The sequence below is a fragment of the Homo sapiens genome, chromosome 3 (genome assembly GCF_000001405.40).
Source record: "Homo sapiens chromosome 3, GRCh38.p14 Primary Assembly".
NCBI lineage: Eukaryota > Metazoa > Chordata > Mammalia > Primates > Hominidae > Homo > Homo sapiens.
The window spans coordinates 172,504,728-172,525,228 of record NC_000003.12 but is presented as its reverse complement, the minus strand read 5'-3'; the positions used below and the strand labels follow the sequence as shown (position 1 = coordinate 172,525,228).

At 41.3% G+C, this 20,501-nt stretch overlaps 1 protein-coding gene and 1 pseudogene across 4 annotated transcripts, besides 1 other annotated feature; one reads left to right on the top strand and one right to left on the bottom strand.

Moving 5' to 3' along the window:
* TNFSF10 (TNF superfamily member 10) lies at window positions 1,799-19,721 on the top strand. Of its 4 annotated transcripts, NM_003810.4 has the most exons (5): window positions 1,799-1,976; window positions 10,231-10,368; window positions 13,570-13,612; window positions 15,908-16,012; window positions 18,310-19,721. In NM_003810.4, exons 1-5 carry the CDS (start codon window positions 1,845-1,847, stop codon window positions 18,735-18,737), a joined length of 846 nt encoding a protein of 281 aa, NP_003801.1. In that variant the 5' UTR covers window positions 1,799-1,844; the 3' UTR covers window positions 18,738-19,721. The 4 variants fall into 4 exon arrangements, 3 of the variants coding, with proteins under 3 accessions (NP_003801.1, NP_001177871.1, NP_001177872.1); NR_033994.2 differs by lacking the exon at window positions 13,570-13,612; NM_001190942.2 differs by lacking the exons at window positions 13,570-13,612; window positions 15,908-16,012.
* Window positions 1,818-1,867: an enhancer, noted in NCBI's record as "active region_20826". NCBI's record gives its function as "activates an Ori minimal core promoter by ATAC-STARR-seq in GM12878 lymphoblastoid cells {active_cell/tissue: GM12878}" and the evidence as "EXISTENCE:reporter gene assay evidence [ECO:0000049][PMID:35858748]".
* TBPL1P1 (TBPL1 pseudogene 1) lies at window positions 2,328-3,001 on the bottom strand (annotated as a pseudogene).
* Window positions 19,722-20,501: the final 780 nt, after the last annotated feature.

The window sequence follows — 20,501 nt, the reverse complement described above, 5'->3', positions numbered from 1 at the left end:
TTTCTGCCCTGCCCGGCTGTGTGTCTTGTGCATTACGGTTATCCTACTCATCTTTCACCTGATTTAAAAAACTCATTCAGTCTAGGACTTAGAGTGTAAGTGTGTTCAAATAGTGTTAGGTTCACATAATGTCTAAAACTTTTAGTAGGAAAAATGCTACCTTGCCAATTTGTCTGTGTCTGAAAGGAATTTGCATTTAAAAATTTGGCAATTTGACAGAGGCAAATTTAAAATTTGAAAATATTTTCTTAAATATAGACTCATTTACAGATAGAAGGCAAGGGCAGGAAGTGATGGTGACCAGCGGTGCCTGAATGAACTCAGGAATGTAACTGTAGATCTAGGGTCCCAAACTTTAGGTTTCAAAGGATCTCTTGGAGTACTTGCTGAAAAATGTAGGTTCCTAAGTCCACTGCCAGAAACTCTGACTCAGTGGGTCAAGAATGGAATAACTAAACAATGGCCCCATGCAGTGGTTCATGCCTGTAATCCCAGCACGTTGGGAGGTTGAAGCAAGAGGATCACTTGAGGTCAGGAGTTCGAGACCAGCCTGGCCTACATGGTAAAACCCCATCTCTACTAAAAATACAAAAAAATTAGCTGGGCATGGTGGCATGCACCTGTAATCCCAGCTACTTGGGAGGCTGAGGCAGGAGAATTGCTTGAATCTGGGAGGTGGAGGTTGTAGTGGGCCGAGATTGTGCCATTGCACCACTGCACTCCAGCCTGGGCGATAAAGTGAGATTCTGTCAAAAAAATAAATAAATACATGAAAGAGAGAAAGAAAGAAAGAAAGAAAGAAAGAAAGAAAGAAAGAAAGAAAGAAAGAAAGAAGGAAAGAAGGAAAGAATAGAAAAGAAAAGAAAGAAAGAAAGAAAGGAAGAAAAGGAAAGAAAGAAATGCTGAATAAGATATAGAGACAACATACAGCTGGGCCAGCTTATGACATCTGATAGTGGGGAGATTTGGGGCTGGGTCCTGAATCTGAGGGTAATTAACTCCCTGTAACTTCTTTTCCTAATCTGTAAAAGGATAGTGACAGCGAGACATTGTGATGGGGTTAATATTTTGGAAAACATCCACATGTTTTTTTCCTTTGCCTTTCTGAGTGTGTCAACTACTTCCTACCTGTCCAGCCTAACACACAGGCATGTTGTCTTGGTAGGGATGGAGATCTGAGAAGGAGATTAGAATTTGTGTCTGAAGGTTTGCAAAGAGGAAGAAGTCGTCAATATTTAGATTCTGACATTCAAGATGGAATTATGTAGCAAGACCATTGCTATGAGACAGTATTTCTATTTTCCTTTATCCACTCCCACCCTGCCCTCTTCCCACCCTCACAGTAGCATGAGAAAAACCACATATGGAAGTTTCAGGTCATAAAAATTATCTTATAATTTAGAAAACAGGCCTTGTGCCTATGACAGCCAGGCCATGAGGCTTAGAGCTCTGTGGTAGAATGAGGATATGTTAGGGAAAAGCAAAGAAAATCCCTCCCCTCTTTGGCTGAGGACATTATCAAAAGGAGAGCAAGAAAGAGAAGAGAGAAATGGGCTTGAGGTGAGTGCAGATAAGGGGTGCATGGATCCTGAGGGCAAGGAGAGGAGCTTCTTTCAGTTTCCCTCCTTTCCAACGACTACTTTGAGACAAGAGCTGTCCCTGGGCAGTAGGAAAGGGGAGGGACAGTTGCAGGTTCAATAGATGTGGGTGGGGCCAAGGCCACAGAACCCAGAAAAACAACTCATTCGCTTTCATTTCCTCACTGACTATAAAAGAATAGAGAAGGAAGGGCTTCAGTGACCGGCTGCCTGGCTGACTTACAGCAGTCAGACTCTGACAGGATCATGGCTATGATGGAGGTCCAGGGGGGACCCAGCCTGGGACAGACCTGCGTGCTGATCGTGATCTTCACAGTGCTCCTGCAGTCTCTCTGTGTGGCTGTAACTTACGTGTACTTTACCAACGAGCTGAAGCAGGTCAGTGCAGTGCAGTGCACTCAGTCTTCGAGGCGCTTAGCAAATGTCTGGTTACCTGCTTCTTTGCATGTCAGCTTGCCCCTCTCTGAAGACTTTCCTGCTTCCTTTCTCTGTGGGTACACTCTAACTGCTAAATCACATAACAACTGAGGTCTTTGCAAAACTGTAAGTTCAAGAAATTGTGTAAACTAAGTGCAGTTACACAACTGGCTTCACTAGTTACTAGCAGATGTGGGCAACAAAACTCCTGAGGGATTTTTTGTTTTTAAAAGTATGTGTATTTTATAATATCAGCCATTGCAACTCTTCATGAAAGCTTTCTGCTAAATGCTTTGTAGTTCTTTTGTTTTCCTTTTCCAAACTTTTATTTGTGCACATTCAATTGAAAAAGATAATTTTTACAGGTTCTTTGGTGCCCATTTTCAGCATACAAAAATGTAAAAGACTATTCACAGATAAAACACATTAGCTCAAAATGGAAAAAAATAACAATGACAACAATAAAACAACCTAAGGTAGTGCACACTGTGACAGCTCTGCTTATGGGGACATGAGAATTCCTGCGAAAATAAATAGAATGTCCTTTTGTAAAAGCAGCAATGACATGTCTTGTAAACTTCCTTTTTTATATTATAACAAGGTTTGGAATAAAATCCAAAGGGACTGGAGCTTACACTGTAGCCATGAATAAATAAAAGAGTCTATTTCCTCAATTACCGTTGGTTCAGTTTTCCTTTTGAGTCCAATGTGCAGCAGGTTTTAAAAGGTGCACAGTAAGAGATTCTAACCAATTAAGTGGTGAATGATAAAATTTCTTTCCTGCTTTCAAACACAAATGGGTAAATCTGTTCCACAGCAGTAGCAACAGCCTTTAAATAGGGCCTTGTTACTGTGATACTTCCTGTCGAAAAAATCTGTAATGTAGCTCTTAGAGTCTTTATCCAATAGCACACAGCAGGATGAAGTTCAGATTCATAACTCACATGAGGTCTATTGCTCTTTGTGAATTCTGGCAAACAGATTTCTTTATTTTTAAATTTTTTTATTTTACTTTAAGTTCTGGGATACGTGTACAGAACGTGCAGGTTTGTTACATAGGTATACATGTGCCATGGTGGTTTGCTGCACCCATCAACCCATCATCTAGGTTGTAAGCCCCACAGGCATTAGGATTTGTTCTAATGCTCTCCCTCCCCTAGCCTCCCACCCCCGACAGGCCCCAGTGTGTGTGTTGCCCTCCCTGTGTCCATGTGCTCTCACTGTTCAACTCCCACTTATGAGTGAGAACATGCAGTGTTTGGTTTTCTGTTCCTGTGTTAGTTTGCTGAGAATGATGGCTTCCAGCTTCATCCATGTCTCTGCAAAGGACATGAATTCATTCTTTTTAATGGCTGCATAGTATTCCATGGTGTATATGTGCCACATTTTCTTTATCCAGTCTATCACTGATGAGCATTTGGGTTGGTTCCAAGTCTTTGCTATTGTAAATGGTGCTGGAATAAACATATGTGTGCATGTGTCTTTATAGTAGAATGATTTATAATCCTTTGGGTATATACCCAGTAATGGGATTGCTGAGTCAAATGGTATTTCTGGTTCCTTGAGGAATTGCCACACTGTCTTCCACACTGGTTGAACTAATTTATACTCCCACCAACAGTGTAAAAGCATTCCTATTTCTCCACATCCTTCCAGCATCTGTTGTTTCCTGACTTTTTAATGACCACCATTCTAACTGGAGTGAGATGGTATCTCATTATGGTTTTGATTTGCATTTCTCTAATGACCAGTGATGATGAGCTTTTTTTCATGTTTGTTGGCCACATAAATGTCTTCTTTTGAGAAGTATCTGTTCATATCTTTTGCCCACTTTTTGATGTGGTTTTTTTCTTGTCAATTTGTTTTACAAGAAACAAATTCCTTGTAGATTCTGCATATTAGACCTTTGTCAGATGGGTAGATTGCAAAAATTTTCTCCCATTCTGTAGGTTCCCTGTTCACTCTGATGATAGTTTCTTCTGCTGTGCAGAAGCTCTTTAGTTTAATTAGATCCCATTTGTCAATTTTGACTTTTGTTGCAATTGCTTTTGGTGTTTTAGTCATGAAGTCTTTGCCCATGCCATCTTGAATGGTATGCCTAGGTTTTCTTCTGGGGTTTTTATGCTTTTAGGTTTTACGTTTAAGTCTTTAATCCATCTTGAGTTAATTTTTGTAGAAGCTGTAAGGAAGGGGCCCAGTTTCTGTTTTCTGCATATGGCTAGCCAGTTTTCCCAGCACCATTTATTAAATAGGGAATCCTTTCCCCATTGCTTGTTTTTGTCAGGTTTGTCAAAGATCAGGTGGTTGTAGATGTGTAGTGTTATTTCTGAGGCCTCTGTTCTGTTCCATTGGTCTATGTATCTGTTTCCATACCAGTAACATGCTGTTTTGGTAACTGTAGCCATCTTCCCTGCTTTGTTGTTGCAGGTTGGAGTTACAGTTCTTGACTCATGAATTCTTGAGGGTGAGGGTAGCTGTATCAGAGCTGTGTCTGCTTCTGCTCATTAGTATACCTCTGGGTCTAGCATGTGGTTCCCAAGTAGCCACTAATACTAATACTTGTGGTTCACTACATACTTATTGAGTGAATGAACAGCCTTCACAGATGTGGTAGGCACCACGAATATGCAGGCGACAAGGGTAGAGTCAGGCTCAACCCAAAGCCAGGCCCTAAGTCACTGAACACTCCCGTTTTGTATTCCAGATGTAGCTAGTCCTGGTGAACTTTCACATCTTTGAAATGTTTTGCTTTTAGTTATGTGGCATTCCTGTGTTGACAATAAGTGAGAATACAAAGGACTGGCATTCTGCCTATTCCTGGGGCACGGGCATGTCATGGGTAAAATCTGTAATAAAGAAGTTATCAGATAGACACAGCTGTTCATGATAAAACAATTGAAAAGCAAACTGCCAATCTCTGCCTGTGGATGGTCCATGTACAAATTGAGGTATCTTTGACAGACAAAACAAACAAACAGTGCTATTTTAATTTATGATTTTCTCGATGAAAACCCCTGGAACTATGACTGCAAAATTGCTGAAAATAAACCAACTCAGTTTTTGACTTCTAATATATATTTTAATTCATTGTATATTAAATAGTAGAGAATTATGAGCTGCAAGGAACGTCAGATCCTCCCCCCACCACCACAACCACTTTTTACAGACGAGGAGACAAGAAATAATGTACTCAAGTTCAGACAAGGCTTTGGAGGCTGGCCGTGGGGCGGCTAGCACCCAGGTCTGTAGGCTCTTCCCTCCACAGTGGGATGTCCACAGGGTTAACCTATCTACACCTTGTGATGTACACTGTGCATGCACAGCGCATCCTGCAGCACCAACTCTGCCAGCTGACTAGGAAATGAAAGGCTAAGGATCTCAGAAAAGTATAAATTGTGCAAAAGACATAGAGTAGTAACTATTTGCTAGGGAAATGTAGTTTGCATATCCTGTGGAATGTAAGTTTGGTTATCCCAATCAGTCGGAAATTTTTCTTTTGGAAATGGATGAGGCAGACTCTTGTTTTATTTGCAACTAATTATGAAAATTATGGCTACTATTAGATGACCAGTAAAGTCAGGTTTATTGTAGGACACATTTAGAAAAGATTTTCTTTTGTAAGAAAAAAATATTAATGAAACTGTAATCATACCTTTAGCTTTAAGTCTACACGAGAGACTGGAATACTGCTATGTTCACCAATTTGGAGCCAGAATTTCCTAACCTTTCTTAACTTTGCAGCATAAACAGAGTAAAGCTGTTACTCCACACACAAGTAGCTCCATCAATTTGCTTACATTACAAGTTGGACTAATTTTAAGATTGAATCAACCAGTTCTTTACTCAACTGACTCATGCAATTGTCTGTATATATAATCAAATTTCTTTTTCAATTCTACTATAAAAATGGAAATTTCATATAAGGCTTAAGATCTTCCCACTTGCATACATTTTTCCTAATTGCATATTGACATATGAACACATGTACATTAGGCATGCAGAAGAATTCATTGAGAGTGCTAGAAAGCTAGGAGAATTACAGATATTGAGCAATTACTGTGTACCAGCAACTTTGAAAAGTATTGCCTGGTTTCAATTCTCATAACAATTCTATTATGTAAGTATAATTACCCCATATTACAGATGAACAAACTAAAGCTCAGGCGAAGTTAAGAGATTTGTTCAAGATTACAAAACTAGTAAAAGGTAAAACCTGATTTTGAACCCAGGCATGAAGGAGGTACTCAATAAATTGAAGCACCTACTTTTTTTTACAATACATTTTTTCAATACAATACAATGCTATTTTTATAGTAGCGTTCTAATTACTGCTGAAAAGTCTCCTGAAGGTGTCACTTTCTTCATCAGAAATTTTCCAAAGGGAAAATAAGTTTGAATCTTCTGTGTAGACTTTGGAAAAGTATATTCAACATAAGTATTAATTTCTTAAAATTGAATACAGGCTCCACTTTGTCTGGTGAACATTTGCAGAAGATACACTCTGCAAGGATTATAGGGTGTAAGGGTTAAGGAAGGCTTCATAACATTGGATTGGACCTTCACAAATAGCCTGTAGACCAGCAAACATGAACAACAAATATGGGCTTAGCCCCTGAAATCTGTGTCCCTCTGAGAAAGTTTTATGATAAAGGAATGGCCTGTCACTGTGACATCATAGATGGGGAGGAAAAAGGAGAAGGGCTTCCTCTCCACGGATCTCCATAAATGATCCTTTATGCTATTTGCAGTTTGCAGAAAATGATTGCCAGAGACTAATGTCTGGGCAGCAGACAGGGTCATTGCTGCCATCTTGAAGTCTACCTTGCTGAGTCTACCCTGCTGACCTCAAGCCCCATCAAGGACTGGTTGACCCTGGCCTAGACAACCACCGTGTTTGTAACAGCACCAAGAGCAGTCACCATGGAAATCCACTTTTCAGAACCAAGGGCTTCTGGAGCTGAAGAACAGGCACCCAGTGCAAGAGCTTTCTTTTCAGAGGCACGCAAATGAAAATAATCCCCACACGCTACCTTCTGCCCCCAATGCCCAAGTGTGGTTAGTTAGAGAATATAGCCTCAGCCTATGATATGCTGCAGGAAACTCATATTTTGAAGTGGAAAGGATGGGAGGAGGCGGGGGAGACGTATCGTATTAATTATCATTCTTGGAATAACCACAGCACCTCACGTCAACCCGCCATGTGTCTAGTCACCAGCATTGGCCAAGTTCTATAGGAGAAACTACCAAAATTCATGATGCAAGAAACATGTGAGGGTGGAGAGAGTGACTGGGGCTTCCTCTCTGGATTTCTATTGTTCAGAAATCAATATTTATGCATAAAAAGGTCTAGAAAGAGAAACACCAAAATGACAATGTGATCTCTAGATGGTATGATTATGGGTACTTTTTTTCCTTTTTATTTTTCTATATTTTACAAATTTTCTACAGGGAATGTTATAAAAATATCCATGCTATCCATGTATAATTTTCATACAGATTTAAAGAACACAGCATTTTTATATAGTCTTATGAGAAAACAACCATACTCAAAATTATGCACACACACAGTCTGATCTCACCCCTGTAAACAAGAGATATCATCCAAAGGTTAAGTAGGAGGTGAGAATATAGCTGCTATTAGTGGTTGTTTTGTTTTGTTTTTGTGATTTACTTATTTAGTTTTTGGAGGGTTTTTTTTTTCTTTTAGAAAAGTGTTCTTTACTTTTCCATGCTTCCCTGCTTGCCTGTGTATCCTGAATGTATCCAGGCTTTATAAACTCCTGGGTAATAATGTAGCTACATTAACTTGTTAACCTCCCATCCACTTATACCCAGGACCTTACTCAATTTTCCAGGTTCCTTCCACCTCCTCCTGAAAGTATTTCTGGAAAATACTCAGAAGGGATCACAGGCTCTAGCCAGCAATTGGTGCTAACCTGGGCTAGTCCCTGTGGCACAAGCTCCACCACGACCATCCTTGTCAAACTCCACCTCAGTTGATAAGTTGTTGCCTGCTGCCATTACTGCCTGATCACAGGCAGCTTTCAACTCTGCACCTTGCCTCTCACAGCTGAAGCCTCCCATATTCAGCCATTTCCTGCTGAGATAGCTTACAGCTGATGTGAAGTGAAAAGGCATACCGCTCCCTCCTTTCTGTGTTATGCACACCTTCTTGCCCCAACAAGTTACAGAGACTTGTGAGCCTGCTTGTTCAGTGTAATCAAACCGAAGCTTGGCCAGAGCCAACTCATACTGAGTGAACTGGGACAGTGTCCAGGGAAAGTTTGCTCTTCCTGGAACCACCCTCGGGCCTTGTGGCTGATCCCAGTTTCTCGTCTCTTCCTTCTTGATCCTTTCCCACAGTTTGCTAGACATGCTCTCATATTTCTGAATCATATGTGACTGAGTGCCTTCCTTGGAAAGGTTTTGCATCTCCCAAGTCAATTCGAGGTGCAACTGGATGTTTACAGGTGGGGCAGGCAGGGGCAAGGAAATGTACCTAAGTCCATGGCCAGTCATATCTCAACTCAGGAGGCCCCAGCTTCACCTCCAACTACATATACTACGGGAATGTTTTTCTCTTGTAATTTAAAAGAGGAAGAAACAAAATAAACATTTGTTTAAAAGTAAATGAATGATCTATGTCAGGGTGTGTGGAAGAAATTTATTAACTCAAGTTTGCACCTTTGCATTTGAGGGACCTTGGCCAAATGTCCAAGGGTTACATGGCTGAGTACAGAACTGTGTGATTCTAGCTGGGACCTCTCATAAACAGTTAAGATATTTTGATTTAAAATGATATTGTCTTTCTATAGGAAGGAGTGAATCATCGTTCAATTTGATCCTCCCTTCAACCTTTGCAGTACCTTAGTTCAAATAACAGATTAAAATTGTCATTTTCTCATTTATTTCCCTAGGTAGTCAATTCAGCAGATTTTTTTTTTTTTTTTGAGATGGAGTCTCGCTCTGTTGCCCAGGCTAGAGTGCAATGGCACGATCTCAGCTCACTGCAAGCTCCGCCTCCCGGGTTCACACCATTATCCTGCCTCAGCCTCCCAAATAGCTGGGACTACAGGCGCCCGCCACCACGCCCAGCTAATTTTTTGTATTTTTTTAGTAGAGATGGGGTTTCACTGGGTTAGCCAGGATGGTCTCGATCTCCTGACTTTGTGATTCACCCGCCTCGGCCTCCCAGAGTGCTGGGATTATAGGCATGAGCCACCGCGCCTGGCCAATTCAGCAGATTTTTTCAGGGAAATAACGTCTCTTCCATCCCACTTGTTAAAACAAAACAAAACGGAAGAGAAGAAATGAGCAAAGCAAACAAACAAACAAACAAAACCCTTCTGGCTTTGTTTGGACCTTCTGTTTCCTGTTTTTCTCAATTAAACAATTATCAGCCTAAAGAGTTCTGGGTGGTTTGGGATGGGGTGTGTGTGGGTGTGTGTGTGTGTTTATAACATCAAGCAAGGATTTGTTGATGAGGGTGAGGAGCTCGTTGATAATGATCTGACTATTGCCATTGTTTACTTTCAATCAGAACAGGGAGAAAACCTTCAAAGAGTGTTTAAGGTCTCTACCAATAAATCCCTAGTTAGTGTAAACATTTAATGAGACAGCATTCAGATTTCTAGTGGCAACATGGTCCAGATTTTGCCAGCCAGAGGAGTAGAAATCAGATCAGTAACTAGAATCTATTTAGCTAGCCACAGCTAGAAACAGAACATGACCCCCTCCCAAATGACTTGGCTGTTTTTTATTTAGGATCCTAAAATGTAAACTGACTCCACTACCGACCTTGTATCTAGGTAGGTTTCCAGCTTCAAAATGGGATACATACCATGGCAGAACTGGAAGAGACCTCAGAATCACCATAGTGAACCGGCTCAAAACTATAAACAGACACAGGAGAATGGAAGCAACTTGTCAAGAAAAGCACAGCTGTTTAGTAAGGGAGGCAGGGAAGGACACTGTGACTCCAGATGCCTGAAGCACACCTGCATCCTTTCCACCATATCCAGCTGCTTACTTTTATTCTTTTTTTTTTTTTTTAAGGACAAAGGAGAGCATGCTTACTTTTATTTCAAACAGGAACTTACTCAATATGCCAAAACTTCTTTAAGTCTGCTATCAGTTTCTGTTGTCTTAACTTCCAAATGAACAAAAATAAAAAGCACTTATGCAAAATATTGTGTTATATTCCATCTCAACCCAGATGCAGGACAAGTACTCCAAAAGTGGCATTGCTTGTTTCTTAAAAGAAGATGACAGTTATTGGGACCCCAATGACGAAGAGAGTATGAACAGCCCCTGCTGGCAAGTCAAGTGGCAACTCCGTCAGCTCGTTAGAAAGGTAGGTAACCTCACCAGGTGACCTCACCAGCAGGCGGAGAAGGCCAGAAGAATTCCTTAAAGCAAAGGAATCTTTAAGATAATCAAGTCTAGACTCTTCATTTTACAAATAAGAAAACTTAGGCCCAGAGTATTTAAGTAATTTTCCCCAAATTCATAGAACTAGGAAAATGGGGCATAGCAGCAAAGGGCAGGACCTGGCCGACTCCTGGTCTAGAGTTCATTCCTCTGCCCCGGACAGCCTCCACATCTAGTCTAACCTTTTGATCTCACATTATGGAAACTGAGGCACACACAGGGTAATGAAGAGAAGGTCACAAAGTCATAAAGAATGTGTGGCATTGTTTTTCATTCAAAAGATAAAGAAGATCAAATAATGATATTTTATATTCTTCCCACATTGCTGATGTCTGGAATTAAATATTTGTTTTTGTATGCATATAGAGATAAAGAAAGAGGAAAATAAGAGGAAAGAAAGAGGAAAGGAAGGGAAGGGAAGAAAGAGATACTTTGAGAAATTGAAGGTGGTTTTTTCTTAATTTACAGCCAATAAATAACAAATTACAAAAAGTATCTGTTTATGGAAGTTGCTTAAACAGGACCTCCAGCAGAGACATGTTAGTTAACAGTTTATTTTACTAAATGTGGCAGAGTGACAGATCTAATCAAGTTTCTTCTCTTAGGCTCTTCCTTCTTTATAAGATGGCATTAAATAATATTTGCAGCCGGGTGTAGTGGCTCACGCCTGTAATCCCAGCACTTTGGGAGGCTGAGGCAGGCGGATCACCTGAGGTCAGGAGTTGAAGACCAGCCTGGCCAACATGGTGAAACCCTGTGTCTACTAAAAATACAAAAATTAGCAAAGTGTGGTGGTGTGTGCCTGTACTCCCAGCTACTTGGGAGGCTGAGACAGGAGAACTGCTTGAACCTAAGAGGCAGAAGTTGCAGTGAGCTGAGATCATGCCACTGCACTCTAGCCTGGGCAACAGAGCAAGACTCTATCTCAAAAACCAAAAAAAAAAAAAAATTGCTTCTGCCTATGTGAAAATATCAGATGAGAACACAGCTATAAAAATACTCTGTAAACTATGAAGTACCACATACACCACCATTGTTTAAAGACGTTAACTGGGGGAATTCCCAGGGTAGGAGGAGAATGTGTTTTACACATGTTTATAAGTCCATTGTTTGGTGTTCTGCATCTGTTTCTCCATATAAATACTGTTATGTTGGTGGTTAGGGATCAAGCTGATAATCCTGAGCTGTTTTCACAGTAGAGCCCTGACACATGTGAGATGCTATTTCTATGGGAAATGAAACTAGACTTCCTTCTAGGAGTCCTAGAAACATACCTGTTCTGTGGCTGCCCTGGCGGCATTGCTCCAGACAGGGGGGCCCACTCCACACAAGCTGTACGGAAGCAGCTATGATTCCACCACTGCAAATGACAGCAAGTGTTCAGGGGGCAAGGACCAGGAGACTAGGAAAAGCCTGGGCTGGAGAAAGGTCCTGAGGAAGCTGAGAAATGAAACTCCCAAGTTCCCGGGATAGGGGCTTGGGGAGGGTGGAGGTGCGATTGTCCAGCAGGGCAGAGAGACTGAGAACTAGGGTGGAAATCTGGAGACTGAGGAGAGGGCTGGGTGCTGTGGACAGGGAGTGGGGAGATAAGAGAAATAGTGAGGACATTTCTCTTTCCTGCTATTCCTGCCATTCTCCCTCCCATTCTCACATCCTGCTACCAACTAGAATAGCGGGAAGCTGGGAGAGAACACAGAGGGAATAGGTGAGAATGTGGGAAAAATAATTCTCTTTTTCTTTTCAGGCACATTAGTTGAACAGATTTATTCCAGTAAATATCCTATGCCCATTTCATACATTATCTCATTTAATCCTCACGACAGCTCTGAATAATAAATCGTTATTATCCTCTTAAATATATTTTAAAAATAGATTAATAAATTGAAGTTTAGATCAGTTAAATAACTTGAACAGTCTCACAGAGCCAGTAACTGAAACATTTGAATGCAGGGCATCTGGCCATGCTTCTAGTCACTCTTTTTATTTTGCCTCCCACATTGTAGGAAAGACCCTTTTCTTTTTCCTGTTGCTTCCCCTTCTTTCCTTCCTTTCTGTTGCAGAATAAGAGAAAGAGAGTAAGAGTGGGAAAGAGAGACACACAGAGAGAAATGAGAGGCAGAGATAAGAGAGAATGCTGTGGTTTCCTCTCACTTCCCCTTCCCGTAAGTCAGTGCCCAGGGAACTGATTACAGTCAGTCCACCGCCACCACTCCCTGCCCCCATTATCCGGCATCAGGGCTTGCGGTGGAGGGAGAAGCAGAGAGCTTCTGCTTTGGGCTGGAAGTACAGAGAAGGCAAGTTTCTGACAGTTGCAACATTAACTACAGTGACTGAGAAAGAGGGCAGTGATGGGAGAAGGTGGCAGGAGGGACAGAGCTGAATTCAGAAGCCATGGATGAGCCAAGTCAGGGTCTTCCCATTTAATAGAGAGGTTTGGTTTTCACTCTTTCTTACTGGTTTTCCCCACTGGTTAGTACAAAGGCTGGGGGAGGTTACTAGATATTTAGCAAAGATATGGGAAGATGGTAAAATATCTTTATGTTGAGAATGGCTCAGCCACATTCTCAGAAGTGAAAGAATGACACGGTGTTGTCAGGTTATACCTCGATAGGCTATGTATGTCTGTGGGCATCCTGAGAGAGAGGAAGTGTGCCCTGCATCTTGAGGCTTGGGTCTGTCCAATAATTTTAAGCCCCTGGGCTCTGCTACCCAGTGCACTTATACACACACACACATGAATGTGCACATACATACACCCCACACACAGAAAGTGACATGACATGGCTGCCACACCCATCAGCCACATTTGGCTGACATCACATGGCGGATGGCTTCTTCCTCCTGCACTGCTCCAGGTGTGGCCTTTCCAAGACTTCATCCAGCAACAGAACTTCCCAGGCAGGGGACCATCCCTTGATTGCTGTGCTGGGACAGCTATCTCAATATTTATCCCAGCTCCCACCCCACCCCTTACAGACCCTATGCTTGACCAACTTAAAACTTCCCAGATTGATAATGCATGTAGAAATTTCCTGTTAGACATCAGCAAGATGAGCCATAGGCATTCTATAGTCAGTTTAAATTTTTAGGGAAATTAACAAGCTTTATTCAATAATATTTGCAGATGATTTTGAGAACCTCTGAGGAAACCATTTCTACAGTTCAAGGTAGTATCTTTTTTGTTGTTATTTTAATTTTTTACTGTCATCTTCATGACAGGTTGTGAATAGTTCTCCATTCTCCTTCTCTGTGTTCTCATCCACTCATCCATCCTCTGATCTGCTGCTCCGTATCTCAAGCCACTTGTTGATTCTACTTCCCTCTTTACATTGGCAGCTAGGAAGCTCAGAACCAAATCTGTGGCCCATCTATGGTCAGAACTTTATTTCAACTTAATTTTATTCTTCCCCATGAATTTTCCTTTCACCTTAATTTCTTCACTTATTAGTTTCTACCTTCTAATGTGTTACAAAGAAGCCATCTTAAATCGTTTCTGGGAAATTGAGAGAAATAAATGAAGTCCCTTAAAGTTACCCTTCTTTGTTTCAGGCCACCACTGGGCTCCAGGTCTTTCTTTACAAAAGCCTCCTCCTCCATCATCCTTTTCCCAACAATCTTTCTACCCACCCACGATCCTCATCCTGCGGTCTCCACCTGTGGCCACACCACCCTCTTGTTCATGGTCAGCAGCCTTCTCTCGACCCACCTCTCTGTGCACTACTGTTGCCCAGGCTGGCTTCTTTAGCTTTCCATCTGGCACTCCATCGTACTTTACAGCTCACGTAATTGTCACCTCTTCAGAGAGGGCTTCCCTGGACACCTTTCTAAGTAAATTCCCTGCACTCTGTTATTTTTATCACATGTACCTTGTTCATTTCCTTTCAGTTATTTTTTTAAATCTGTTATTCTTTTCCAATGCAATAAACTTCTTCATCACTTGGCACCCCCATTTTCCTTTATTAAATATGTTTTCTTAAATATAAAGGACAGGACCTGTTCCTGGGGTCTAAGCCTTCTTTCTTATCATTTCTCCAAAGGTGAAAGCAGTAGTGAGAATGTTGAACACTCCACCTATTCAGATGAGGCATACCAGATTAATGGTCTACAGCAGATAGATGCATGTACTGTTTTCAGTGTTGGAAGAATAAAATTCTTTGTTATTCATCCCAGTAAGGTGAAACACAACTCTGTATACCAAGATATATCCATGGTACCTCGATATACATATTTGCAGGTTTCTTTTTTGGGAGGTGTTTGCTATAACCAGTTGGAAATTTCCTCTTTTAAAAATTTGCTTTCAAATCTAGGCTTTCCTATCCATATCCTTGAAATGACCTTAACAAATCTGTTGCCCAGGCTGGAGTGCAGTGGTACGATCATGGCTCACTGCAGCCTCAACTTCCTGGCCTCAAACAATCCTCCCACCTCAGCTTCCCGAATAGTAGGACTACGGGCACAGGCCAACACGCCTGGCTGATTTTTCTATTTTTTATAGAGACAAGGTTTCACTATGTTGCCCAGGCTAATCTCAAACTCTCAGGCTAAGTGATCCACCCATCTTGGCCTCCAAATTGTCACTTTCTAATTCATATTTTCTGTAGAAGGCTGTAAGTCCCTTGAGGACATGGTCAGTGAAATCAGTGATTAATATTTGTAGCCCTCTGGGGTGTAGTGCCTTACCCTAGCACTGTCTGTTTGATGAAAGAATATAATTTACTTACAACCAATGTAAGCACACTTGGGAAGTTTGAACTGATTCTTTTAGAGAAAGTCATTTGTTACATTTCTTTTTTTTTTTTTTTTTTTTGACGGAGTCTTGCTCTGTTGCCCAGGCTGGAGTGCAATGGTGAGATCTCTGCTCACTGCAAGCTCCGCCTCCTGGATTCACACCATTCTCCTGCCTCAGCCTCCTGAGTAGTTGGGACTATAGGTGCCTGCCACCATGCCCAGCTAATTTTTTTGTATTTTTAGTAGAGATGGGGTTTCACCGTGTTAGCCAGGATAGTCTCAATCTCCTGACCATCTGTTTGTTGGTACCACTCTGTTTATTTCTGTATGTAATTCAAGGTGGAAATTTGCCAATACGTAGTTATTTGCACAATTTAACTCAGCAGGATTATTACACAGCTACAGCTATTTCTTTATTTATATTTTTGGAAAAGGGATAGAATCTTCACTTTGTTGTATCTTCACTTTGTTTCTCTTTGGACCCTACCCGTGAGACACTAATAAATTATAATCCATGTTACTGCTTATTCTTTCCGTGTAAAGTACTTTTCAAGTTGATCATAAGCTGAGGTAGGTTGATCATAATATCAAAATGTTATTTTTATGAAAACTCATAGAATCAACTTTGGAAGCCCAGTATGCTTACGATGGCTGATTGACAACACCTATGAAGAGCAAGGTATTGGAGAACTAGTTTGGCAAGTGTTGATGACCCTTTATCATTTCTCTTTTAGAAAAGCAACAAAATATTTCTCCCCTAGTGAGAGAAAGAGGTCCTCAGAGAGTAGCAGCTCACATAACTGGGACCAGAGGAAGAAGCAACACATTGTCTTCTCCAAGTAAGAGAAACAACAAATAAGTGACTTAAGGGAAAATAATGGAAGGATTGTGCCAAGTAACTTATTTTTTAAAGAATTTTATCTGAAATGTTTATATGGCTATCTACAAAATGCTCAGTATTAATCAGATCTCAGATTGACTGTTTTCAGATGCAAGATTACAGACAAACAGCTCAATTATTGCCACGACATAACTGGCCTCAGGAAAATTACAAAGTGGGAGAATTTTGTCTTTGCAGTTTTCAGGATCCCATTTTTTTTCCTTCTTTAGAGTAATTTCTCGCTCTTTCTTTCTTTCTTTTTCTTTCTTTCTTTCCTTTTTTTTTTTAGACAGAGTTTCACGTTTGTTGCCCAGGCTGGAGTGCAATGGCACCATCTCGGCTCACTGCAACCTCCGCCTCCAGTGTTCAAGCAATTCTCCTGCCTCAGCCTCCCAAGTAGCTGGGATTACAGGCACGCAGCTCCACGCCTGGCTAATTTTGTATTTTTAGTAGAGATGGGATTTCTCCATGTTGGTCAGGCTGGTCTCGAACTCCCGACCTCAGGTGATCCGCCCACCTCGGCCTCCCAAAGTGCTGGGATTACAGGTGTGAGCCACTGCACCCAGCCTTTCTCTCTTATGATTACTTCTTCCATCCCTCTGCACTTCTCTTCTTTGCTCGCCATCAAATCTCCCTTCTCTTTAAAGGTTCTAAATCATTTACTATCCCTATGAATCACTAGGTGCTCCTAGTGGCATTTACATTAAATTAAACCACAGGAGATTGCCAATATTTGACCATATTTTACTTACACAAATGTCAGTTTCATATAGTTTAACCATATATGTTACATCTAATTTATATATAGGCAGAACATGTGTCGATATGTTGCTATGTAATACTGTGCATGGGTATTTTTTTGTTTTTTTTTTGTTTTTTTGAGACGGAGTTTCACTTTTGTCGCCCAGGCTGGAGTGCAATGGTGCCATCTCGGCTCACTGCAACCTTTGCCTCCCAGGTTCAAGCGATTCTCCTGCCTCAGCTTCCCGAGTAGCTGGGATTACAAGCATGCACCACTACACGAGGCTGGTCTCAAACTCTTGACCTCAGCTGATCCACACCCCCCCGGCCTCCCAAAGTGCTGGAATTACAGGCGTGAGCCACCACACCAGGCCTCTGTGCATGGGTCTTATAGTGTAAATATCTAGGTTGGAATCACAGCTCCTCTTCACCTAGATGCATGTTTTGAGCTAATTACTTAACCTAGTCAAGCTTCAGTTTCTTCATATGCAAAGATGAGACAAATCTTAACCCACAAAATGATGCAAAATGTCTGGTCTATTGTATGTCCTCAAGAAATACTCACCTTTATTTTTGTCAGAGGCTTTATCCCGTAAATTTGTCTAAAAATATTTCAGACATCAGTTAATAGATAAAAAGTTTGTTTGGGGGTTTGGGGTTGGTTGGTTGGTTTAGTTTCTTCTGGGTAGTTGCCTTCTTGACATTCTTGGACTCATGTTTTATAAATGATTGTCATGTTCTGCCTACAAGTGAGGGGATTATTATGATGTTACTGCTTGCTACTCATCAATAAATATAACTGGTTTACGCTCTGGAAAAGCCCAATTTTGCACCAATCGTGGAGATAGGCTAAAAGTGTAAATGAATATCATTTTGGAAGGTTCATTTTTCATTCAAAACCTTTGAGTGTGAAAGATTCAAGGATCTGAGGATCTTTAAATCTAGGCTCCTTTGCCAACTTTGTGCCTCTATTATTTTTGGCTAGAGACGCCATCTGCTTGGATGTGCCTTTGACTCTGGAGAGCTGAGAAAGATCAAGGGGGGACCCAAAGAGTCCAAAAGGAATGGCAAGAACTTCTGAGATTTAGGCCTAAAGAAATAGATACGTTTATTTCGGTTTCCTTCTGGATTGTCCACTTAAGTTCACCAGCACAAGACGGGAGGAACAGATTCAGGGCAGAAGTTCTGCCCAGGAGAAACCATTGCTATCTGAGTGGGCCATCCCTTGTGCTACCATTCTAAGTGTGACACATGTGGCATAAGCAGCTGACAAGGTATAAAAAGACAAGGGACTCCCAACAGTTCCCAATGTCACAATGATGCAGGAACCTCCCAATTTCTATGTGACTAGAATTTATAATCCACATTAAGATTGAAGGAGGAAGAAGTTTGATATTAGATTGAAATCCCTGGCAAGCCCAACAAAAATATAGGCTGGCCACAGCTGCAAAAAAGCTCCTTGCTTTGCTACAAATTCCCTTCTGTTAACGCTCTTTCTCTCTAAATTTCCTACAGACTCCAAGAATGAAAAGGCTCTGGGCCGCAAAATAAACTCCTGGGAATCATCAAGGAGTGGGCATTCATTCCTGAGCAACTTGCACTTGAGGAATGGTGAACTGGTCATCCATGAAAAAGGGTTTTACTACATCTATTCCCAAACATACTTTCGATTTCAGGAGGAAATAAAAGAAAACACAAAGAACGACAAACAAATGGTCCAATATATTTACAAATACACAAGTTATCCTGACCCTATATTGTTGATGAAAAGTGCTAGAAATAGTTGTTGGTCTAAAGATGCAGAATATGGACTCTATTCCATCTATCAAGGGGGAATATTTGAGCTTAAGGAAAATGACAGAATTTTTGTTTCTGTAACAAATGAGCACTTGATAGACATGGACCATGAAGCCAGTTTTTTTGGGGCCTTTTTAGTTGGCTAACTGACCTGGAAAGAAAAAGCAATAACCTCAAAGTGACTATTCAGTTTTCAGGATGATACACTATGAAGATGTTTCAAAAAATCTGACCAAAACAAACAAACAGAAAACAGAAAACAAAAAAACCTCTATGCAATCTGAGTAGAGCAGCCACAACCAAAAAATTCTACAACACACACTGTTCTGAAAGTGACTCACTTATCCCAAGAGAATGAAATTGCTGAAAGATCTTTCAGGACTCTACCTCATATCAGTTTGCTAGCAGAAATCTAGAAGACTGTCAGCTTCCAAACATTAATGCAATGGTTAACATCTTCTGTCTTTATAATCTACTCCTTGTAAAGACTGTAGAAGAAAGAGCAACAATCCATCTCTCAAGTAGTGTATCACAGTAGTAGCCTCCAGGTTTCCTTAAGGGACAACATCCTTAAGTCAAAAGAGAGAAGAGGCACCACTAAAAGATCGCAGTTTGCCTGGTGCAGTGGCTCACACCTGTAATCCCAACATTTTGGGAACCCAAGGTGGGTAGATCACGAGATCAAGAGATCAAGACCATAGTGACCAACATAGTGAAACCCCATCTCTACTGAAAGTACAAAAATTAGCTGGGTGTGTTGGCACATGCCTGTAGTCCCAGCTACTTGAGAGGCTGAGGCAAGAGAATTGTTTGAACCCGGGAGGCAGAGGTTGCAGTGTGGTGAGATCATGCCACTACACTCCAGCCTGGCGACAGAGCGAGACTTGGTTTCAAAAAAAAAAAAAAAAAAAACTTCAGTAAGTACGTGTTATTTTTTTCAATAAAATTCTATTACAGTATGTCATGTTTGCTGTAGTGCTCATATTTATTGTTGTTTTTGTTTTAGTACTCACTTGTTTCATAATATCAAGATTACTAAAAATGGGGGAAAAGACTTCTAATCTTTTTTTCATAATATCTTTGACACATATTACAGAAGAAATAAATTTCTTACTTTTAATTTAATATGATCAAATGTATCAGTTCTTTTATTTATGGCTAATACCTTTGTTCTGGGTTGAGTTGTGCTGTGTCCTCAGGAAAGATATGTTGAAGTCTTACCAGTACCTCAGAATATAACCTTATTTGGACATAGGGCCATTGTGAATGTAACTAGTTAAGGTAAGGTCATACTGGAAAAGGATGGGCCCTTAATACAAGATGACTAGTATTTTTTTTTTTTTTTTTTGAGACAGAGTCTCTCTGTCACCCAGGCTGGAGTGCAATGGCTTAATCTCGGTTCACTGCAAACTCCACCTCCCAGGTTCAAGCGATTTTCCTGCCTCAGCCTCCTGAGTAGCTGGGAATTACAGGTGTGCACCACCATGCCCGGCTAATTTTTGTATTTTTAGTAGAGATGGGGTTTTGCCATGTTGGCCAGGCTGGTCTTGAACTCCTGACCTCAGGTGATCCACCCCCCTCGGCCTCCCAAAGTGCTGGGATTACAGGCATGAGCCACTGCGACTGGCCCACTGGCATTTTTGTAAGAAGAGGGAAATTTGGGCCGGGCGCGGTGGCTCACACCTGTAATCCCAGCACTTTGGGAGGCCGAGGTGGGCGGATCACGAGGTCAGGAGATCGAGACCATCCTGGCTAACATGGTGAAACCCCCGTCTCTACTAAAAATACAAAAAATTAGCCAGGCGAGGTGATGTGTGCCTGTAGTCCCAGCTGCTCGGGAGGCTGAGGCAGGAGAATGGCGTGAACCTGGGAGGCGGAACTTGCAGTCAGCCAAGATTGCGCCACTGCAC

Bases quoted from the DNA above. Each gene is read 5' to 3' on its own strand.
- TNFSF10 (NM_003810.4), top strand. From the start codon at position 1,845: ATGGCTATGATGGAGGTCCAGGGGGGACCCAGCCTGGGACAGACCTGC. The intron at 1,977-10,230 runs GTCAGTGCAGTG...ATCTCAACCCAG, and splicing joins TTACCAACGAGCTGAAGCAG to ATGCAGGACAAGTACTCCAA. The intron at 10,369-13,569 runs GTAGGTAACCTC...TAATATTTGCAG, and splicing joins TCCGTCAGCTCGTTAGAAAG to ATGATTTTGAGAACCTCTGA.